Source organism: Homo sapiens, chromosome 10 (assembly GCF_000001405.40).
Source record: "Homo sapiens chromosome 10, GRCh38.p14 Primary Assembly".
In the NCBI taxonomy this organism is placed as follows: Eukaryota; Metazoa; Chordata; class Mammalia; order Primates; family Hominidae; genus Homo; species Homo sapiens.
This window is the reverse complement of record NC_000010.11, coordinates 73,412,557-73,433,866: the sequence shown is the minus strand read 5'-3', so window position 1 is coordinate 73,433,866 and position 21,310 is coordinate 73,412,557. Positions and strand designations below refer to the sequence as shown.

General features: G+C 43.7%; 2 protein-coding genes and 1 pseudogene across 6 annotated transcripts in view, besides 3 other annotated features; all 3 read left to right on the top strand.

The window, feature by feature from the left end:
• Positions 1-305: 305 nt before the first annotated feature.
• On the top strand, positions 306-10,288 carry MSS51 (MSS51 mitochondrial translational activator). 2 transcript variants are annotated; one of them, NM_001024593.2, is made up of 7 exons: positions 306-354; positions 5,566-5,803; positions 6,099-6,254; positions 7,136-7,260; positions 7,490-8,056; positions 8,676-8,769; positions 9,095-10,288. In NM_001024593.2, exons 2-7 carry the CDS (start codon positions 5,583-5,585, stop codon positions 9,312-9,314), a joined length of 1,383 nt encoding a protein of 460 aa, NP_001019764.1. In that variant the 5' UTR covers positions 306-354; positions 5,566-5,582; the 3' UTR covers positions 9,315-10,288. The 2 variants fall into 2 exon arrangements, with proteins under 2 accessions (NP_001019764.1, XP_047280506.1); XM_047424550.1 differs by having other exon boundaries at positions 306-5,803.
• Positions 11,129-11,651, top strand: RPL26P6 (ribosomal protein L26 pseudogene 6; annotated as a pseudogene).
• Positions 19,626-20,185: a silencer, noted in NCBI's record as "silent region_2483". NCBI's record gives its function as "represses an Ori minimal core promoter by ATAC-STARR-seq in GM12878 lymphoblastoid cells {active_cell/tissue: GM12878}" and the evidence as "EXISTENCE:reporter gene assay evidence [ECO:0000049][PMID:35858748]".
• ANXA7 (annexin A7) overlaps positions 19,809-21,310 on the top strand; it is a 38,958-nt gene continuing 37,456 nt past the window's right edge. For all 4 annotated transcript variants that reach the window (NM_001320879.2, NM_001320880.2, NM_001156.5 and 1 more), the window contains exon 1: positions 19,809-19,855. The gene's annotated coding sequence lies outside the window, so the exon portion shown is untranslated. The remainder of the gene's footprint in view (positions 19,856-21,310) is intronic.
• Positions 20,586-20,665: an enhancer, noted in NCBI's record as "active region_3562". NCBI's record gives its function as "activates an Ori minimal core promoter by ATAC-STARR-seq in GM12878 lymphoblastoid cells {active_cell/tissue: GM12878}" and the evidence as "EXISTENCE:reporter gene assay evidence [ECO:0000049][PMID:35858748]".
• Positions 20,676-20,795: an enhancer, noted in NCBI's record as "active region_3561". NCBI's record gives its function as "activates an Ori minimal core promoter by ATAC-STARR-seq in GM12878 lymphoblastoid cells {active_cell/tissue: GM12878}" and the evidence as "EXISTENCE:reporter gene assay evidence [ECO:0000049][PMID:35858748]".

Genomic DNA, 21,310 nt, shown 5'->3' with positions numbered 1-21,310 from the left:
GTGAGAGAAGTCTAGGAAGCAGCAGGTTTCATTTTTTGTCAGCCTGCCTGGCCTTTACTTGGCTAACACTTGGGAGTGTTGACAGTCCTGAGCCCCCTTGGCAGAGAACAAAGGTTAGAGAGAAGCCCTCAGGCAGGGGGACAGATCCCTCTTTGCCTCATTAGGGAGAATTCAGCCTTGTCTGTCTGGTTGGCAGGGCACACTTAATCACTGAGACTCAGCATTTCAGCAGTTTGCAAAGGAAAGTGATATGAAGGGACAGCTGCAAGTAAGCCACAACCTAGATCTGAAGAGATCAAGCACTCATTTCACTTGGAGGAAAGAGAGAAGGAAGGAAGCTGAGGACTTAGCAGGGTAAGTTTTTTTTTCCGTCAACCTGTCTGCTTGCTTAGTTTATAATTGAGTAAAGTATTTATCACCCCAGGCAGTGTTAATCACTGATTAAACAGCTGAATGTGGCCATAATTACAGTGTCCTTAATGTATTTCTCCTTCTCTTTTCCTACCCCCTTATAAGGATCTCCAATGACCAGTTTCAGTCTTCCTTCTCCCTACCTCTCCAAAGACGTTTTGCATTTTTTGGTGACTTACAGAAAATTAGATGAGCACTCCTTATCTGGAGATAGTGAAAATATGACTGTAGTTTAGGTGAAACTTGGGACTCTTGGTGGTAAAGAAGAAGATGGGAAACCTAGGTCTAGGAATAGATTAATATTTTGTCTTGAATTTGGACATGAAGGATAAAAGTTTTTCTAGGCAATCAAGATCATGTCTCCTCTCCAGTTCTTGGTGTTGGTGTTCTCTCTCTTATACTGGGACTAAATTAGAGCCTAAGTCACTGGGGATGGCTAGAAAAAAATGAAAGGGATTCCCTTTCTAAGTGGAGAGCATTCTAGACTCTGGAAAGTTCAAAGAGCTTACTGCAATTCTTTCCAGCTTCTCCTGTGAGTCCCCTGTTTTTTCCTTTGTTTCTCTCAGTTTATAACCTGTGAACAGGGAGTAGCCTGGGGCTCTTTACAGGAGATTTAGAACCAGGGAAGCTGTGTCTGGGCCTGGGGTATATAAACTCAAACATGAACCTGATGATGTATATAGATGCAGATCAAAGACCTGGCTTCTCACCCACCTTCTTTCTTTTCTGCCAGAAAGCTAACTCATTTGTATCATGAACATTGTGCTCTAGACACAGAGGAGACTGTGACATTAGGGATTTTTACCACCACTCCTCTTCCTCAAACTGTGTGATCCTTTTGCTTTCTGACCAGTTCAGCCAACTCCCAGATTGCCAAGAGCTAATCTTCCTTTAGAGGAAGACCTCACCTTGGAAATGCGGAAAAGTAAAGCAGTACCTTTCTGACCTTAAGTGGCTTGCTTCCATTGCAGCAAAAAGGCTTATGTTTTAACTTCAGGGAGATATCTATTATAAATTCTGGGATTTAAGACCCTAGAGTTGTCTCAAATCACACTTTCCTTCCATACCTATTTAAAAAAAAAAAAGTCATTCTTTCAAGGTTTAAGAAAGTGGTGTCTTGGCCGGGCGCCGTGGCTCATGCCTGTAATCCCAGCACTTTGGGAGGTCGAGGTGGGTGGATCACGAGGTCAGGAGTTCGAGACCAGCCTGACCAACATGGTGAAACCCCATCTCTACTAAAAATACAAAAATTAGCTGGGCATGGTGGCGCGAGCCTGTAATCCCAGCTACTCAGGAGGCTGAGGCAGGAGAATCACTTGAACCCGGGAGGTGGAGGTTGCAGTGAGCCAAGATCGCACCACTGCACTCCAGCCTGGGTGACAGAGTGAGACTCTGTCTCAAAGAAAGAAAGAAAAAGAAAATGTTATCTTGCCTGAGGCAGGTGGGTAGAGTAGATAAATGCTTTTTGTAGAATGGCAGTGATTCTGAAAATGCAATGAGAATGTGAGGTGATTAAAAGTGGAGGACAGAATGAGGTTAGTTGTTGGAAATTGGGCCCTAAAGTGTGAAGGGCAATTCCATTTACTCTTTTGGTAAAAGGACATGACCCTTAAACCCTAAGATAATCTAATATCATTAGGTCCAATTTCTTCATTGAAGGTAATATATAGGATATGGTATACAGATGAGCTTGACTATTTCTGTTCTGTGGACTGAAACCATCCATTCACCCATGGGATAAGGGGAGACATTAAGAGGGTGGATGGAAACATAAGGATGAGGAGATAGAAAGTACAAAGGAAAATACAAATTTGTTCCTCCATTAACCTGAGGACAGGTTTTTAAGAGTCATGTTGTAAGATATGGATATGAGCTGGATAATTCTGGGAGCTTTTTGTTTATTTTTGCCACCTGCATACACCTCAGCTGCATGATGATTCTGAGGTTTTTCCTAACAGATCTGATCTAGAAGGATCAAATGTCAGATCATTTTTGTAACAAAACATGATCCCTGGTTTGAACTTTAACAGTTTCCTCATTCACACTGCCAGCGTTTTTAATCCTCTGTTATTTCTCTGTACCTGAAGACAATCTGGGGATTAATAACTTTTTAGCCTCTCAATCTCTATGAATACCTTCCTTCCTTTCTTTTTTAATCGAAGTGAAAATCATATAACATAAAATTAATAATTTTAAAGTGAGCAATTAAATGGCATTTAGTGTATTCACGGTATTGTTCAACCATCAATTTTGTCTTGTTCCAAAACATTTTTATCACCCCAAAAGAAGACCCCATAACCATTAAGCAGTTACTCCCCATTTTCCCTTCCACCCAGCCCTTAGCAACTACCAATCTGCTTTCTGTCTCTGGGTTTACCTATTCTGGATATTTCATAGAAATGGCATCATACAACATGTATACAACATTTTGTGTCTGGCTTTCTTCACTTAGTATAATGTTTTTTGAAGTTCCTCTACATTGTAGCGTGTATCAGTATTTCATTTCTTTTTATAGCTGAATAATATACATCTTCATATGTATATTTATATCCCAATTTGTTTATCCATTTATCCATTGATGGACCTTTGGGTTGTTTCTACCTTTTAGCTGTTGCGAATAGTGCTGCTATGAACATTCACATATAAGTATTTGTTTGAGTATCTGTTTTTAAATATTTTGGGCACATACCTAAGAATGAAATTTCTGGTTATATAGTAATATTATGTTAACTTTTTGGGGAACTGCCGTACTGTTTTCTATGGTGGTGGCACCATTTTACATTCTCACCTGCAGTGTACGAGGGTTCAAATTACTCCATATCCTCATCAACACTTGTCATTTTCTGTTTTTTTTTTTTATAATAGCCATACTAGTGGGTATGAAGTAATATCTCACTGTGGTTCTGATTTGCATTTTCCTAATGACTATTGAGCATATTTTCTTGTGTTTATTGTCCATTTGCATATATTCTTTGGGAAAATGCCTATTCACATGTTATGCCCAATTTTTTAGTTGGGTTGTTTGGTGGTTTTTTTGTTTGTTATTGAGTTGTGGGAATTCTTTATATATTTTGAATACTAACCCCTTATCAGATATATGGTGTGCAAATATTTTCTTCCATTCTTGGGGTGTCATTTGACTCTGTTGTTAGTTTAGCATCCTTTGATGCACAAAAGTTTTTAATTTTGCTGTCCAATTTATCTATTTTGGTGGTGGTGGTGTTGCCTGTGCTTTTGGTGTCATATCCTAGAAATTATTGCCAAACCTATGTCATGAACCTTTCCCCATAGACTTTTATAGTTTTACTTCTTAAGTTTAGGTCTTTATACTTTAAACATTCAAACTCGAGTCATTCTATTTCATTAATTTGCAGAATGTTTCTGTCTATATTTCTGTGTTTATTCTCTCCTCTGTGCTTAGAATTTATTTTTTCCCTATTTCCAAGTATTCAAAGTATTCCCATCTTTCAAGGTCTATTCCAACTGCCACCTGCTTCATGAAGAAAGCCACTGAAGAGATTCTCGCCCACTGAAGAGATTTTCTTCTTCTGATCTCCCATTAGTGCTTTAGTTGCACTTTTCTGGTTGGATTTATATAGTACCTTATAGTCTACATCTAATCTCCCTGCAAGACATTTAGATATATATTTCTCATATTTGCTTCTATATATAGTGTTTCGCAAATGATTTCATCTGTTTATCAGTAAATATATATTACATGAATGGACATTTTAATTTTTCTCATATGGTCCTTTCTGTTTACTCAGCTCTTATGGAAGGCATGGCAGAAGATGAGACAGGGAAAGAGGACAGCACAGAGTCACAGCCAGATCGTGACTGAGTGTAGGCTTACTTCTACCTCAAAACTTACCACTTTAGGAAATTTTTCTGACTTGCTTGACTACATAACTCTTAGTGCACGTTTTGTATTACATTTAATTTTTACTTCTTGGCTTATTGCTTATACATGTGATAATAGGTCTTTCAAAATAAATGTTTTATCTCTCTATATTAAACTGTCTAACTCTCCAATTGGATGGTCACTTTGGAGAATTAAAACTTCTATTGCTTTTTCTTCTTTTAAATTGAGTTTTAAAATACATTAAAGCTATATTAATATTTTCTCCTTATTAAAAAAGTCAAACATTACAGGTAAGTATACAGTTCCATTTGATCAGCCCAGTTCCTATTTAACTGCCTTCTTAAACTATTCAGAGTTAATCACTGTTACCAGTTTTCTTTTTTTTTTGAGACAGAGTTTTGCTCTTGTTGCCCAGGCTGGAGTGCAATGGTGCGATCTCGGCTCACCGCAACCTCCGCCTCCTGGGTTCAAGCAGTTCTCCTGCCTCAGCCTCCCAAGTAGCTGGGATTATAGGCACCCACCACCACGTCCAGCTAATTTTTTGTATTTTTAGTACAGATGGGGTTTCACCATGTTGGCCAGGCTGGTCTTGAACTCCTGACCTCAGGTGATCCGCCCGCCTCAGCCTCCCAAAGTGCTGGGATTACAGGCGTGAGCCACCACGCCCAGCTGTTACCAGTTTTCTATGGGCCCTGCCAAATCTTTTTTGATGCATTTACTTATATATATATATGTGTGTGTATATATATATATAATGTATAGGACTTACTATGTGTAAATTATATTCATATAAAATTACTTCTTCTTGGCTGGGTGCGGTGGCTCAAGCCTGTAATCCTGGCATTTTGGGAGGCCAAGGTGGGTGGATCACCTGAGGTCAGGAGTTTGAGACCAGCCTGACCAACATGGTGAAACCCCATCTCTACTAAAAAATACAAAAATTAGCCGGGCCTGGTGGCGCCTGCCCGTAGTCCCAGCTACTCGGGAGGCTGAGGCAGGAGAATCGCTTGAACCTAGGAGGTGGAGTGAGCTGAGATTATGCTGCTGTACTCCAGCCTGGGCGGCAGAGCAAGACTCTGTCTCAAAAAACAACAACAACAACAAATTACTTCTTCCCTATTTTCCACAGCTGCCTATGGTGATCAATAACCAGTAAATACTGAATAAATCTTACTGATAACCTGGGTCTGAGAGACTGGAATGAGAAATGAAAGGTCAAGCATATGAAAATACTTCACAAGTGTCCAGCTTGTAAAATTCCATTCCATGTCTATTCTGCATATAATCTCCAGGTATCACTGGACAGGCCATGGCTCCACGGTCCCGGCGACGAAGGCACAAGAAACCTCCCTCATCAGTGGCTCCCATCATCATGGCCCCAACCACAATTGTGACCCCTGTGCCTCTGACCCCCTCAAAACCTGGCCCTAGCATTGACACACTTGGCTTCTTCTCCTTGGATGATAATGTTCCTGGCCTATCGCAGCTGATCCTTCAAAAGCTGAACATGAAAAGCTATGAAGAATATAAGTGAGTGACCAGCTCTATGGAAAAGGGATATATTGTCTCTGGTAGAAGTAAATTTCAGAAGGTGGAGAGGGAGTACAGTTTGGTGAATATGGAGTATTTGCAATAAGAGATTTTCTCATCCTTTTGCCAGTTACTATATTACTATAAAAGAAGAAACATTCACTTAAGTGAAAAATGATGGCAGTGGGAGACATAGGAGTAAGTGGAAATGTGTAGGAGACAAGATGGGGGGCATGAGAGATTTTGGAGATATTCCTTTCCCCATTGTCATTCCTTCTCCATGCTGTCTCTGCAGGTTGGTGGTAGATGGGGGTACCCCCGTATCAGGCTTTGGATTTCGATGTCCTCAAGAAATGTTCCAGAGGATGGAAGACACATTTCGATTCTGTGCTCACTGTAGAGCACTCCCTAGTGGGCTTTCAGACTCCAAGGTTCTCCGGCACTGTAAGAGGTGACTTGTTGGGGGCTAATAGGGAGACATTCAGAAATGATCCTGTATTAGCCGGGCATGATGACTCATGCCTGTAATTCCAGCACCTTGGGAGGCCGAGGCAGGTGGATCACATGAGGCCAACCTGGCCAACACAGCAAAACCCTGTCTCTACTAAAAATACAAAAATTAGCCTGGTGTGGTGGCACACACCTGTAGTCTCAGCTACTCGAGAGGCTGAGGTGGGAGAATTGCTTGAACCCAGGAGGCAGAGGTTGCAGTGAGCCAAGATTGCACACTGCACTCCAGCCTGGATGACAGAGCGAGACTCTGTCTCAAAAAAAAAAAAAAAAAAAAAAAAGCAATGACCTTCTACTACAACCTCATTCCAAGAGGAAAGATCTGAAAGTTTTCAAAATAACCTAAGACTTAGGTCCTCATTTTTTGTCACCCAGGCTACAGAGATTAGAACAGTGTTCTAATCCTGCTTATTTTTGGTGTTATTGGGAAGTGAGACAAGAAACCACAATACAATCCTCTCTGTCTCTCTCTTGAGTACTCAAGGAGTAAGACTACATTTGTTCTGGGGAGGTGGAGGTTGAACCATACCTGTTATGAGAGGACAGCTGCAAACTCGTGGTGTTTTTTCTAAAAGTGATATAAAAAGTGAGTTGTTCCAGATAGAGAGTAAGGTATCACTCTGTCTGGCAGAATAATTATATTCCCAATCCCTCCTGCCTTGTCTGCCAAATGTAGTCCCCAAAATTGGTGCATCAGCTCTCATTCCTCTCCCTACCTTCCTTACCCATTCACCATCCTAGGTGCAGGAATATCAGTTCCTTTCCTCCGATAACCCCAATCATATTTATAGTATAAGAACTATTTCTCTCTCATTCTCTCAGGTGCAGAAATGTCTATTACTGTGGTCCAGAGTGCCAGAAGTCAGACTGGCCCGCACACAGGAGGGTTTGTCAAGAGCTTCGTCTTGTGGCTGTGGACCGTCTCATGGAATGGCTTCTGGTCACAGGTGGAGTGGTGGTGTTGAGGATCTCTGCCATAATGGTCATAGTTGATTGCATTTAAAGGAAGATACAAAATCATATTGTTATGAAAAAATGAGGAAGTGGGGCAAAGGATGGGGCACGCCTGCTCACAGGTTGGCAGAGTGAACATGGAGGGAATATTGATCATTAGTGAGGGGGAAATTTTGAAGCCAGGAAAGCATTAGGTTACTTCTTATTTCTTCTTTCCTACAGGTGATTTTGTTCTACCCTCAGGACCTTGGCCATGGCCACCTGAAGCTGTACAGGACTGGGACTCCTGGTTTTCTATGAAGGGGTTACACCTAGATGCTACATTGGATGCTGTGCTAGTTAGTCATGCTGTGACCACCTTATGGGCCAGTGTAGGACGGCCAAGGCCAGACCCGGATGTCCTGCAGGGATCTTTGAAGCGGCTGCTGACAGATGTCCTGTCACGGCCCTTGACTCTAGGCCTAGGACTTAGGGCCTTGGGGATAGATGTTAGGAGGACTGGGGGAAGCACAGTGCATGTGGTTGGTGCTTCCCATGTGGAGACATTTCTTACTCGCCCAGGGGACTATGATGAGCTTGGTTACATGTTTCCTGGGCACCTTGGACTCCGTGTGGTCATGGTGGGTGTAGATGTAGCTACTGGCTTTTCACAGAGCACCTCAACTTCACCCCTGGAACCTGGCACAATTCAGCTTAGTGCCCACAGGGGCCTCTACCATGACTTCTGGGAGGAGCAAGTAGAGACCGGGCAGACACACCATCCAGATTTGGTGGCGGCATTCCATCCAGGTAAGAGTCATTGGTTCAGGGGAATAGAGGGTGGCTCCCCTGAGAATTTTCCATCCTGAATCTTCTGTCTTTGGAACCCCATTCATTTGGTCTCATTAAACACAATATGATGACAACTTTTCTTTTTTTTTTTTTCTTTTTTTTTTTTTGAGACGGAGTCTCGCTCTGTCGCCCAGGCTGGAGTGCAGTGGCGCGATCTCGGCTCACTGCAAGCTCCACCTCCCGGGTTCACGCCATTCTCCTGCCTCAGCCTCCCGAGTAGCTGGGACTACAGGCGCCTGGCTAATTTTTTGTATTTTTAGTAGAGGCGGGGTTTCACTGTGTTAGCCACGATGATCTCGATCTCCTGACCTTATGATCCGCCCGCCTCTGCCTCCCAAAGTGCTGGGATTACAGGCGTGAGCCACCGCGCCCAGCCTGATGACAACTTTTCTTGATAATTTGCCATATGTACTACACTTGGGTTCAGAATTTTTCATTGAAGAGTGGATGATGATGATGATGATAATGACTGGGGATAAGCAAGGTGAGGGGTGGGGTGCTCACAGTCAAAGAAATATCTTGCTCTTAGGGTCTGCTTTAGTCTTTCCCTATTCCCATTTTCATTTTTGTTCCACAGGTTTTCATTCCTCCCCAGACTTGATGGAGGCTTGGCTGCCCACCCTGCTGCTACTTCGTGACTATAAGATTCCTACATTGATTACTGTTTACAGGTTTTGACCTCATCCTATTTGTGATACTTCCCTGACTTTACATCTCTCTTTATATAGATGAGCTCATTTTTGCCCCCCTCTTGCTCATCTACCTTCTGGTGAGGATGTTCTTTTCCGCATATGGCTTTTTTATCCCCTTGGAACAGTCCTTTGCTAGTTAATGGAATATTTAATGAGACATTTGGGAGGGAAAGATAGCCCTTGCCTAGTCCAGCCTTAGGCAATTTGGGGGATGGGTGATTACAGAAATGTCAGGCTCTTGGGCAGTTTTTCCTTTATCTCTGTCACAATCAGTAGAGTAATTTTTCTTCTCTCTCTTCTACAGCCATCAGGAGTTGGTATCCTCTTTGCAGATTCTGGTGGAACTGGATACACACATCACTGCCTTTGGGTCTAATCCTTTCATGTCCCTCAAACCTGAACAGGTCTATTCCAGTCCCAACAAGCAGCCAGTATACTGCAGTGCATACTATATCATGTTTCTTGGAAGCTCCTGTCAGCTGGATAATAGGCAATTAGAAGAGAAAGTGGACGGCGGGATTTAAATAGATCATAACTGGACATCTGGAAAACGGGGAGTTTGTGATGAAATTACCCTGCTAATGCCAGGTTCTTGCAAACTTTGAAAAACATTATATTCTAAACCTCATTTACTGTTTGGGTAAAAATTCTAAGCTGAATGAGAGTTTCTGTATAACATAACTGGTTTCTTTCTTTTTTTGAGATGGAGTCTTGCTCTGTTGCCCAGGCTGGAGTGCAGCGGCATGATCTCGACTCACTGCAGCCTCCGCCTCCTGGGTTCAAGTGGTTCTCCTGCCTCAGCCTCCCTAGTAGCTGGGATTACAGGTGCACACCACCACACCTGGCTAATTTTTGTATTTTTAGCAGACAGGGTTTCACCATGTTGGCCAGGCTCGTATCAAACCCTTGACCCCAGGTGATCTGCCTGCCTCAGCCTCCCAAAGTTCTGGGATTACAGGCATGAGCCACCATGCCCAGCCAATGTAACTGGTTTCTAAGAGTTTAGCCACAGTAGCTTCTAGAGATAGGAAATTAGATTTAGTGGGTGGGAAGAGGCCCTGATGCTGGTCTTTCCAGAGCTTATAGTTGCTAACACTTTTCTTTGTAAAGAAGTTTACCTTTTGACTGGAACCAGATGGCACTGAGAAAAAGAATGAGAACCACCTTATTCTTCTGAAAAAGACTTTCTTCTCATCCAGTAATTTGGGCTAAAAAATGGAAAGATGTTGATGACTTGAAGTGATGCAAGAATGGACAAGTCAGGGAAGTCATTGGGAACATGGATGAGGTTGTAAGCATTGGTACAGTGTCCTGTTTCCTGACTTTTTTGAGAGAAATGTCTACTTTTCCTGTTTTCTCTTGGGGACTTTTGACCCTAGAGTAGCCCTGGTGTTATATTTTAGATATCCCAAGCTATATCAGACTTTACCTGAATATACTGGAGTTACTTATTATCCCCCATTCTATACCCCAATAAACTCAGTTTGGGGCTTCTTAAGTCACTTGTTTTATTTCCTATTCACTGGCAAGTATTACTCATCTGCACATAACACCTCAAGACTGGAAGTTTCTCTCTTGCCAACAGAGTAATTAGCATCAGTTCTCTGGGTCTGCCACTCTGTCACACATTTGCCTCATGTCATCCTTTTCTTTTTTATTTCTTTTTCTTTTTTCTTTTTGGAGACAGAGTCTTGCTCTGTTGCCAAGGCTGGAGTGCAGTGGCATTATCATAGCTCTTTGCAGCCTCAGACTCCTGGGCTCAAGTGATCCTTCCATCTCATCCTCTCAAGTAGTTGGGACTTACAGGTACATACCACCACGCCCAGCTAACTTTTTTTTTTTTTTTTTTCTAGAGACAGGGCCTCCTTGTGTTGCCCAGGCTGGTCTCAAACTCCTGGGCTCAAGCAATCCTCCCACCTCAGCCTGCCAGAGTGTTAGGATTACAGGCATGAGACACTGTGCCCAGCCAATGTCATCCTTTTCTCATCATACTCTCAGGATTAGGACATTTCCTGGGTATTCATTCCTACAATCTTGCCATGACTGTCTCTCACACACATATTACAGCCCATCACCCAACACATACATACACATTCTATTGCCCACTCTAATAGGGATAATTTTAGAATTTCATATATTCATTGAAAACAGTACCTGTCATACTACAGGTACTGTATTTTGGCTTTGGGGAGATTGAAAGGTGAATAAGACATGGTGTTTATTCTTAGGAAGGGAAATAATATTTATGTATTTGGAGATACCTTTATTGCAAGGTATAATATGGAGTAAGAAACACGAGAGAGGCTTCTGGTGCTAAGGAAATAGAGTGAAAAGAGCTCTCTTCCCTCTTGCGGCCATCACTGAAGCAGGAGCGGCCAAAATGAAGTTTAATCCCTTTGTGACTTCTGACTGAAGCAAGAATTGCAAAAGGCATTTCAATGCACCTTCCCACATTCACAGGAAAATTATGTCTTCCCCTCTTGCCAAAGAGCTGAGACAGAAGTACAACGTGCGATGCATGCCCATCCAAAAGGATGATGAAGTTCAGGTTGTATGAGGACACTATAAAGATCAGCAAATTGGCAAAGTAGTCCAGGTTTACAGGAAGAAATATGTTATCTACAATGAATGGGTGCAGTGGGAAAAAGCTAATGGCACAACTGTCCACATAGGCATTCACCCTAGCAAGGTGGTCATCACTAGGCTAAAACTGGACAAAGACCGCAAAAAGATCCTTGAACGGAAAGCCAAATCTCGCCAAGTAGGAAAGGAAAAGGGCAAATACAAGGAAGAAACAATTGTGAAGATGCAGGAATAAAGTAATCTTATATACAAGCTTTGATTAAAACTTGAAACAAAGAAAAAAAATAGAGTGGAAAGAGATCATTTTGCTAAACGATAGTGAAAATATTCTGAGTGAGAATTTTTTGAAACAGAGCACAAGGCACTCAAGACGGAAGGAACAACAGGACCAGAAGTTTGGAGGCAGAAAAGCATATGGGATATTTGAAGGTACCTTTAGGGATTAGTATAAATTAAGTCTGGAAGGTAGATTGAGATAAGATGATAGGAGTATTGTGGATTTTTGTAGATCTGAGTATGAATCCTGGAACAGCCATCAAATTTTATATTGCAAGGGAAGCTAAACTTCTCTAAGCCTTAGTTTCTTCATCTGTAAAATGGAGATAATACCAAGTATCCCAAATTAATATTGAAGTTAAACGAAAATGTTTGCAAAGTTGGAGGACTCGCACATCCCAATTTCTTTTTTTTGTTGTTTGAGACAGAGTCTCGGGCTCAAGTGATCCTCCCACCTCAGCCTCCCTAGTAGCTGGGACCACAAGTGCAAGCCACCATGCCCAGCCAATTTTTGTATTTTTTGTAGAGACAGGGTTTTGCCATGTTGCCCAGGCTGGTCTTGAACTCCTGAGCTCAAGAGATCCACCCTCCTCAGCCTCCCAAAGTGCTGAGATTATGAGCCACTGTGCCCGGCCCCCAGTTCCAAAACCTATAATCAATTGTATACTTAGCAGTTCAATATCCCTAATCTGAAAACCCAAAATGCTCCTGTGAGCGTATCCTTTGAGTGCTATGTCGGCACTCCAAAAGTTTCAGGTTTTGGACCATTTTGGATCTCGGTACTCAAAAAGCTTTGGATTTTGGAGCATTTTGAATTTCAAATTTTTGGATTAGGGATGCTCAACCTGTACAAAATAGTAGTAGTCAAGACAATGTGATACTGGCATAGAATAGACATAAGGTCAGTGCAGTAGAATTGAGAATTGTCTTAGTCTGCTTGGGCTGCTGTAACAAAATACTGTAAACTGTGTGGCTTGTAAACATCAAATTTATTTTCCACATTTCTGGAAGCTGGAAAGTCCAAGATCAAGGCACTAGCAGATTTCGTGTCTGAGAAGGGCATGTTCTTACTGTGGAAGGGGCGACTGAGCTCACTCTTTCCTCTTTTACAAGGACACTAATCCCACTCATGAGGGCTCTGCCCTCATGACCTAATAATTTCCCAAAGATCCCACCTCCTAAAGCCGGAGGTTAGGATTTCAGCACGTGAATTTGTGTATGTGTGGTGTATGTATGTGTATGTGTATGTATTGGGGTGGAGGAGGCTCACAAAACATTCAGACTGTAACAAGAATAGCAGGGCATGGTGGTTCATGCCTGTAATCCCAGCACTTTGGGAGGCCAAGGCAAGCAGATCGTTTGAGCCCAGGAGCTTGAGACCAGTGTGGGAAACATCCCAAAACCCCGTCTCTAAAAAAAATACAAAAAAAATTAGCTGGGCATGGTGACACATACCTGTAGTCCTAGCTACTTGAGGGGCTGAGGTGAGAGGATCGCTTGAGCGCAGGAGGTTGAGGCTGCAGTGAGCCAAGATTGTGCCACTGCACTTCAGCCTGGGTGAAAAGTGAGAATCTGTCTCAAAAAAAAAAAAAGAAAAAAAAAACCTTAACATTTATGGTCAATTGATTTTTCACAAGGGTACATAAACAATTAATTGGGAAAAGAACAGACTTTTCAACAAATAGTGCTGGGACAACTGGATATCCAGATGCAGAAGAATAAAGCTATACCCCCACCTCACACAATATACATAGATTAACTCAAAATGGTTCAAATACCCAAAACTAAAACTCTTCAAAGAAAAAAAAGGGGAAAATCTTTGTGAACTTATCTGGCAATGTTTTCTTAGGTATGACACCAAAAACACAAGCAACCAAAATAAAAATAAATAAATTAGACTATCAAAATTTAAAATTTTAGGCCAGGTGTGGTGGCTCACACCTGTAATCCCAACATTTTAGGAGGCAAAGACAGGAGGACTGCTTAAGCCCAGAAGTTCAAGATGAGCCTAAGCAACATAGACCTATCTCTACAAAAAAAAAAAAATTAGTGGGCATGGTGGCGCATGCCTGTAGTCACACTACCTGGGAGGCTGAGGTGGAAAGATCGCTTGAGCCCAGGAGGCTGCAGTGAGCCATGATCGCACTCCAGCCTGGGTGACAGAGCGAGATCCTGTCTCAAAAAAAAAAAAAAAGAATGAGAGAAAATATTAATAAATTATATATCTGATAAGGGACCTACAACTTAAAAGGACAGATAACCCAATTAAAAATGGGCAAAGGATCTGAACAGACATTTCTCCAAAAAAGATGTATAAAGGGCCAATAAGTACATGAAAAGATGCTCAACATCATCAATCATTAAGGTATACAAATTAAAATTATAATGAGATACCACTTCATACCCACTACGATGGCTATGATGAAAAAAAGAGGTAGTAACAAATGTTGATGAGGATGTGAAGAAATTGTAACCTTCATACACTGCTGGTGGGAATGTAAAATGATGCAGCCAATTTGGAAAACAGTCTGGCAGTTCCTCAAACAGTTAAACATTGAGGGCCAGGTAATGATGACTCACGCCTGTAATCCCAGCACTTTGGGAGGCTGAGCTAGGAGTACTGCTTAAAGCAAGGAGTTTAAGACCAGCCTGGGCAACGAATCAAGACCCTGTCTCTTTAAAAAAAAAAAAAAAGTTAAAAATTGACTTACCATTTGACCCAGAAGTTTTGCTCATAGGTTTGTACCCATGAGAAATGAAATCATATGTATATAAATATTCATAGCAGCATTATTCATGACAGCCAAAAGATGAAAACAACCAAAATATCCATCAGCTTATGAATGGATAAGCAAAATGTGGTAAATCCTTACAAGGAAATAGTATTTGACCATAAAAGTAATGAAATACTGATTCATGTTACAATATGAAAGCCAGTTACAAAAGACTACATATTGTACAAGTGCATTTATATGAAATGTTCAGAATAGGCAAGTCTATGGAGACAAAGTAGATTAGTGGCTACATGTGGAGGGGAAGGATGGGGGTATTGGGGGCGACGGGTAAAGGATATGGGATATAACCATTCTAAAATTGATTGTGGTGGTAGATGCACAACTCTGAATGTACTAAAAATCATTGAATTGTACACATTATATGGGTGAATTATATTTCAATAAAGCTATTACCAAATTTTTCTAATCTTAGAGAATGTAAAAAATAAGGATATTTAAATCCTTAACACAGTACCTAGCAAATAGTATGTCCTTAGTAGCTATTATTTGATAAATATCATTTTGAATTTTGCTCAGTAACACAGATTGAACTAGCAGTAGTGTGTAAGATGGTTTGGTAATGGAAAATCCAGTTAGGACACTATTGTCATGGTTCAGACGAGATAATGTAGGTGTCAGCTAAGATTATATCAGTAGGTATGGAGAGCAAGAGGTAATTTTTAACTACAAGTAAAGTAAATAGTGACATTTTGCAGGTAGAACATGAAAGTAAAATCTAGGATTTGTTTGCTGATTGTGATGGATGAAGGGTGATGTATCTGTCAGCCAGAATATAATTAGAAACTACACAGTAACAGGTGGCGCAAAAACATCCAATTTAGTAGAATGGTGGTGATAGTACACAAAAGTCCAAATGCCTAGCTTATTGTCAAATGCTGAGGATTCTAAGATGGCTTCTGCCCTTATAGGAGACTGACATAAGCAAGGACAATATAATGGAGTTATGTTTTCTAAAGTCAGCATATGAAATGAAAAAAAATTTTCAAAACTACCTTTGAAAATCCTTTAGGGTAGCACATGGGTTCTCTCAGTAGGTCTATCAGAGCCAGTTTTTCCCAGTGCTGGAAATAAATCTGTATTTGGCTGATCACCAGACGAAGTAGTTGGCTTGGGTTTTGGGGGCCCTATTGTAGTCAATCAGACAATCAATTATTTATCAAACACTCACTACTAGGCTCTAAAGATATCCCTGTTCTCAAGGAGCTTACATTCTAGATGGGGACAGAAACAGTAAACACACAGAATTTCAGATGCTTTTTTTTTTTTTTTTTTTTTTTTTTTTTTTTTTTTTGAGACGGAGTCTCGCTCTGTCGCCCAGGCTGGAGTGCAGTGGCGGGATCTCGGCTCATTGCAAGCTCCGCCTCCCGGGTTCACGCCATTCTCCTGCCTCAGCCTCCCAAGTAGCTGGGACTACAGGCGCCCGCCACTACGCCCGGCTAATTTTTTGTATTTTTAGTAGAGACGGGGTTTCACCGTTTTTAGCCGGGATGGTCTCGATCTCCTGACCTCGTGATCCGCCCGCCTCGGCCTCCCAAAGTGCTGGGATTACAGGCGTGAGCCACCGCGCCCGGCCAGAATTTCAGATGCTTTTAAGTGGTATAAGGAAAATTAAATAATGAGCATAGCTGCTAGTGGTGGTTGTGCTGGTGGCAGCTACTAATGTTCAGGAAATACCTTGAGGAGATGACATTTTTTGTTTGTTTTTTTGAGATAGGGTCAGGCTCTGTCACCCAGGCTGGAGTGCAGTAGTGAGATCTTGGCTTACTACAGCCTCTGCCTCCCAGGTTCAAGTGATTCTCCCCTGTGAGCCTCCTAAGTAGATGGATTACAAGTGCACACTACTATGCCTGACTAATTTTTGTGTTTTTTGTAGAGATGGGGTCTCGCCATGTTGCCCAGGCTGGTCTCCAACTCCTGGGTTTCAGTGATCTGCCTGCCTTGGGCCTCCCAAAGTGCTAGGATTATAGGTGTGAGCCAACTCACCCAGCCAGGAGACCACATTTGAGATGACACCATGGAGAACATTCCCAGTAGAAGCAATAGCAAGTGCCAAGGTCCTGAGAATCTGGTGCATTTGGTCACAAGCTTGGTATGTTTGGACCGAAGGCCACTGTGTTCAGAGGTTAGTGATTAAGGAAAGTGAAGGCCAGGCGCCGTGGCTCACGCCTGTAATCCCAGCACTTTGGGAGGCCGAGGCAGGTGGATCACGAGGTCAGGAGATCAAGACCATCCTGGCTAACATGGTGAAACCCCGTCTCTACTAAAAATACAAAAAAATTAGCTGGGCGTGGTGGCAGTCACCTTTAGTCCCAGCTACTTGGGAGGTTCAGCCAGGAGAATGGTGTGAACCTGGGAGGCGAAGCTTGCAGTGAGCTGAGATTGCACCACCGCACTCCAGCCTGGGCGACAGAGCAAGACTCCGTCTCAAAAAAAAAAAAAAAAAAGTGAAAAGGGATTAGATGAGCGATGTAGGCAGGGACCAGATTATCTAGGGCTTAATAGACCATCAGGAGTTTGGATTTTATTTTATTCTGGTTCCAGTGGGAAGCTATTAAAAAAGTTTAATCACGGGAATTACATGACCCAATTTATTCTTTAGAAAGATCACTCTGACTCAGGGTTTCTTAACCTCAGCACTATTGACTTTTTGGGCTGAATAATTCTTTGTGTAGGGACTGTAGGCATTGTAGGATACGTACCTTGTTTAGAATCCTTGGCTTTCACCCACTAGATGCTAGTAACCCCACCACCTCCCCTCAGTTGTGACAAACAAAGATGTCTCCACACATTGTCAGGTGTCCCTGAGGGACAAAATTACTATTCTAATGGAACAAAAAGGATATGAACTTAAATACCAGACTCTGGGCCAGGCGTGGTGGCTCACACCTGTAATAATCCCAGCACTTTGGGAGGCCGAGGTGGGTGGATCACCTGAGGTCAGGAGTTCGCCTGGGCAACATGGCAAATCACCGTCTGTATTAAAAATATAAAAATTTAGGCCGGACGTGGTGGCTCATGCCTGTAATCCTAGCACTTTGGGAGGCTGAGGCGGGTGGGTCATGAGGTCAGGAGATCGAGACCATCCTGGCTAACACAGTGAAACCCTGTCTCTACTAAAAATACAAAAAATTAGCCAGGCGTGGTGGTAGACACCTGTAGTCCCAGCTACTCGGGAGGCTGAGGCAGGAGAATGGCGTGAACCCAGGAGGCAGAGCTTGCAGTGAGCCGAGATCGTGCCACTGCATTCCATCCAGCCTGGGCAACAGAGTGAGACTCTGTCTCAAAAAAAAAAAAAAAAAAAAAAAAAAAAAAAGCTGGGCGTGGTGGCGGATGCCTGTAATCCCAGCTACTTGGGAGGCTGAGGCAGGAGAATTCGTTGAACCTGGGAAGCAGAGGTTGCAATGAGCTGAGATTGTGCCATTGCACTCCAGCCTGGGCAACAGAATGAGACCCTGTCTCAAAACTACAAAAACAAACAAAAAAAAACCAGACTCTGATACAGTGGGATGTTCACATTAGAAGCATGATGGCTCTTATTTCACATGAACTCTGGAACATACCATGGCCTTCAGAGATGTTGACCAGGTATGGTGGCTCATGCCTGTAATACATCCAGCACTTTGGGAGGCTGAGGCAGGTGGATCGCTTGAGGCCAGGAGTTCGAGACCAGCCTGGCCAACATGGCGAAACCCCATCTGTACTAAAAATACAAAAAAATTAGCTGGGCGTGGTGACATGCCTCCCAGCTACACGGGAGGCTGAGGCATGAGAATCGCTTGAACCCCGGAGGCAGAGGTTGCAGTGAGCCTAGATCGCACCACAGCACTCCAGCCTGGGTGACAGAGCAAGACTCTGTCTCCAAAAAAATTAAAAAATTAAAATGGTCCAGTTGAGTACAAAAAAGAAGATCAGGAAGAGTTTATTGGAGCAAGACGGAGATGAGCAACCTTGAAAACAAGTCTAATTAAGATGAGTAATTGTTAAAAGATGAGCAGTGCTTTCTAAGCAGAGGTAGCAGGAGGAAAGGGTCTCCGATCCTGTAACGCCTTTTATGCCAGGAAGAAAGGATGAATTGAAAGGATGAAATGGCAAATGTCGTAGTAGACTATTGGACTATTCCTGCAGCTCAGGAAAGTGGGCTGGAAATAAGAGGTTTGGCAAATACCCTGTTATGGTGGTATTTAAGGCAGAGGGAGGGTTTGGAACGAGCTCACAAAGGGAACTCTAGAATGAACAGAGTAGGCTTCTCAGGGAAGGCTTAAATCCTGGAGGTCTCTGGGGTAGGTAGGACAGAAAGTCCTGTTATTTTCCAGGTAGACAGACTGTTGGGCGCCGGGGAATTAATGCTGGTCACCTAGAGAGTTGTGCATTTTGTCTACCATTGTTAAATGAGGCAATGACCTGCCTCAAATACTTTTCACTCCACACACCTATTTGGAAGCCACGTATATTTTGCTTGCTCTTCCCATTTAAAATCGTAATCCACTCTATTCCACCCCCATGAGGAAGCTTTTGGGTAGAAAAGTGTGTAGAGGAATAAGTAAGTTGATGTGCATCAGATGTGCAAACTTTAGTGTGCATCAGAACCACCTGGAAGGCTTGTTAAAACAGGTTGCTGGGCACCACCCGGGGAGTTTGATTCAGTAGGTCTAAGGTGGAGTTCAATAATCTGCGTTACTAACACGTTTCCAGGTGATGCTGCTGTTCGGGGGACCACACCCAGAAGCTACCTTTTACCACTCTAAAAGGTAGCTGATTGGTTTTCTCTGTAATATAAATTCCTTAACGAGTTTAAAATATTGATCTGAGCCCTCGTAATTGCCTCAAATGTTTAATGCTAATGTGTGTTCAATGCTGTAGCCACGAGGGGAGCCTAAAATCACCTAACAACTCCTTTCGGGAGTGATTTTGATTAGTTCATCTACAGTTCCAACTAAGATTTCCCACAAATATTACTTTCACAGGAGGCTAACAAAAAACGCCGTCTTTGTCCCCAGAAAATACCTGGAGGACGGTATTTCAGAGGCGGGGAGGCTGCACCAGCCTCCCAGTCTCAGCCCTTCTCTACCGCCCGCCACTGAAGGGGCCCCGGATACCCCCAGGACTGCTGCAACTTCCTAGGTGACTTGAGGCAGCCTTAAAAGGGATTGGTGCAGGGTCCTTGCGACAGATAAATGTGATTAAAAATCCGCTGGGCCACCCGAAGGGAGAGTCTTTTTCCCTCAGGTGGCGCCTAGGGGCGGGACTGAGGGACAGCCCGCTCCCCGCAGCGCCCTCTCCGGCTCCGGGGGTGTTCCCGGCTGCAGCCGCGATCCTAACGGGCTCGCGAGACGCCCCGCCCACCCTGGGCCCGCCCCCGGCTCCATCTTGCGGGAGACCGGGTTGGGCTGTGACGCTGCTGCTGGGGTCAGGTGAGGAGCGGCGCCCCCCTCCCTTTCCCACCTCGTCTGCCTCGGTGGTCTTGCCCTCGGCCAGCTCTGGGCGCTGCTGTCCCGGTGCTAGTGGGGCGCGGCTGGAGGGCAGTGTGGGCCTCCCGGATGGCGGCGACTCGGTTTGCGCGTCTCGTAGCCGGGCTGCCGGCCGGGGTGTGTTGGGGTGGCGTGGGTGAGGCGGCCGGCCTGGCTTACGGGAAGCCCTTCCGTCCGTTTGGAAATCCCAGGGACCAGTGGCGCCCCGCCCTCGGGCAGGTGGAGGGGCTGAGGCCGGAGCGTGGCCCAGCTGCCTCGCGGGAGGCTGAGTAGGGAAACGCACGGGCAGTGCTGAAAGCCGTCTGGCTGGTAGTGGCTGTACTTTCCGGTGACACAGCGAATTTAGGGAAACTTGGGGAAATTTTTACTGTGTTTAGTGAACCGTAGGACAGAATGCGCCAGGCCAAGGTCGTACACTGGTTCTCGTTTACAGTTCTTGGAAGCTATTCTAGAATAGCATTCCAGATTTGATTGCTGTTCCCCGACCAGCAGCAAATCTGTGTTGAAATTAGCTCATCCTGTGCAAACACTGCGCAAGGAAACCAAGGTGCAGAGGTAGATGGCTGATGTCCACCGTAAAGTGACAGACATGACGCTGTTGTCTTCCGACTGCCGTAAACGCCCTGATTTTTGCCAGCTGATGGCCAGCTAATCTGCTAAATGTGTCCGAATTAGATGATGAGTGTAATGAGTTACCTTCCAGGCAAGGAAAGAGTTTCAAGCACTGAATAGGTAAAAGAGATAATTTTGGCCACTGCAAACTTTCAGTCCTTTTCAGTGAGGACTGTCTTTCAGTCCTCACTGGTGGTTGGCTACCTACCTGTCCGTGCAGAGGACTAGCCATGCCTCCATGTTCTTTCTCCACATCACTGACGGATTTAAATGATCCTACCATACCTAGAAGCCGGTTTTGCAAAATTGTATTCGCTGTTGCGCGTATCTTCAGTCACCCTTCCTGTTTCGTGTATTTTTTCCCCCATAAATTTGCAACAGCTGCCTCTTGGGTTCCTGGGCTTCATGCCATCAATGAGAAACGGTGAGACCCAGCCCTTTTACTAACTGACTCACTGGGTGGAGGTGGTTTGGAAAACCAAAAATGATTTTCTAGTCTTTTAAAAGTGATTGCTAACAGAGAATGTTTAAAAAAAAAAAAAAAAAAGCCCGAGCGCGGTGGCTCACTCCTGTAATCCTAGCACTTTGGGAGGCCGAGGCGAGAGATTCACGAGGTCAGGAGGAGTTTGAGACCAGCTTGACCAACACGGTGAAACCCCGTCTCTACTTAAAAATACAAAAATTAGCTGGGCGTGGTGGCGCGCGCCTGTAATCCCAGCTACTCTGGAGGCTGAGGCAGGAGAGTCGCTTGAACCCGGGAGGCAGAGGTTGCAGTGAGCCAAGATC

What these genes read in the sequence shown, in the direction of transcription:
- MSS51 (NM_001024593.2), top strand. Translation starts at nt 5,583, where the DNA reads ATGGCTCCACGGTCCCGGCGACGAAGGCACAAGAAACCTCCCTCATCA. An exon ending in AAAAGCTATGAAGAATATAA is followed by an intron (nt 5,804 to 6,098) that starts GTGAGTGACCAG and finishes CTGTCTCTGCAG; the next exon opens with GTTGGTGGTAGATGGGGGTA. An exon ending in GGTGGCGGCATTCCATCCAG is followed by an intron (nt 8,057 to 8,675) that starts GTAAGAGTCATT and finishes TTTGTTCCACAG; the next exon opens with GTTTTCATTCCTCCCCAGAC.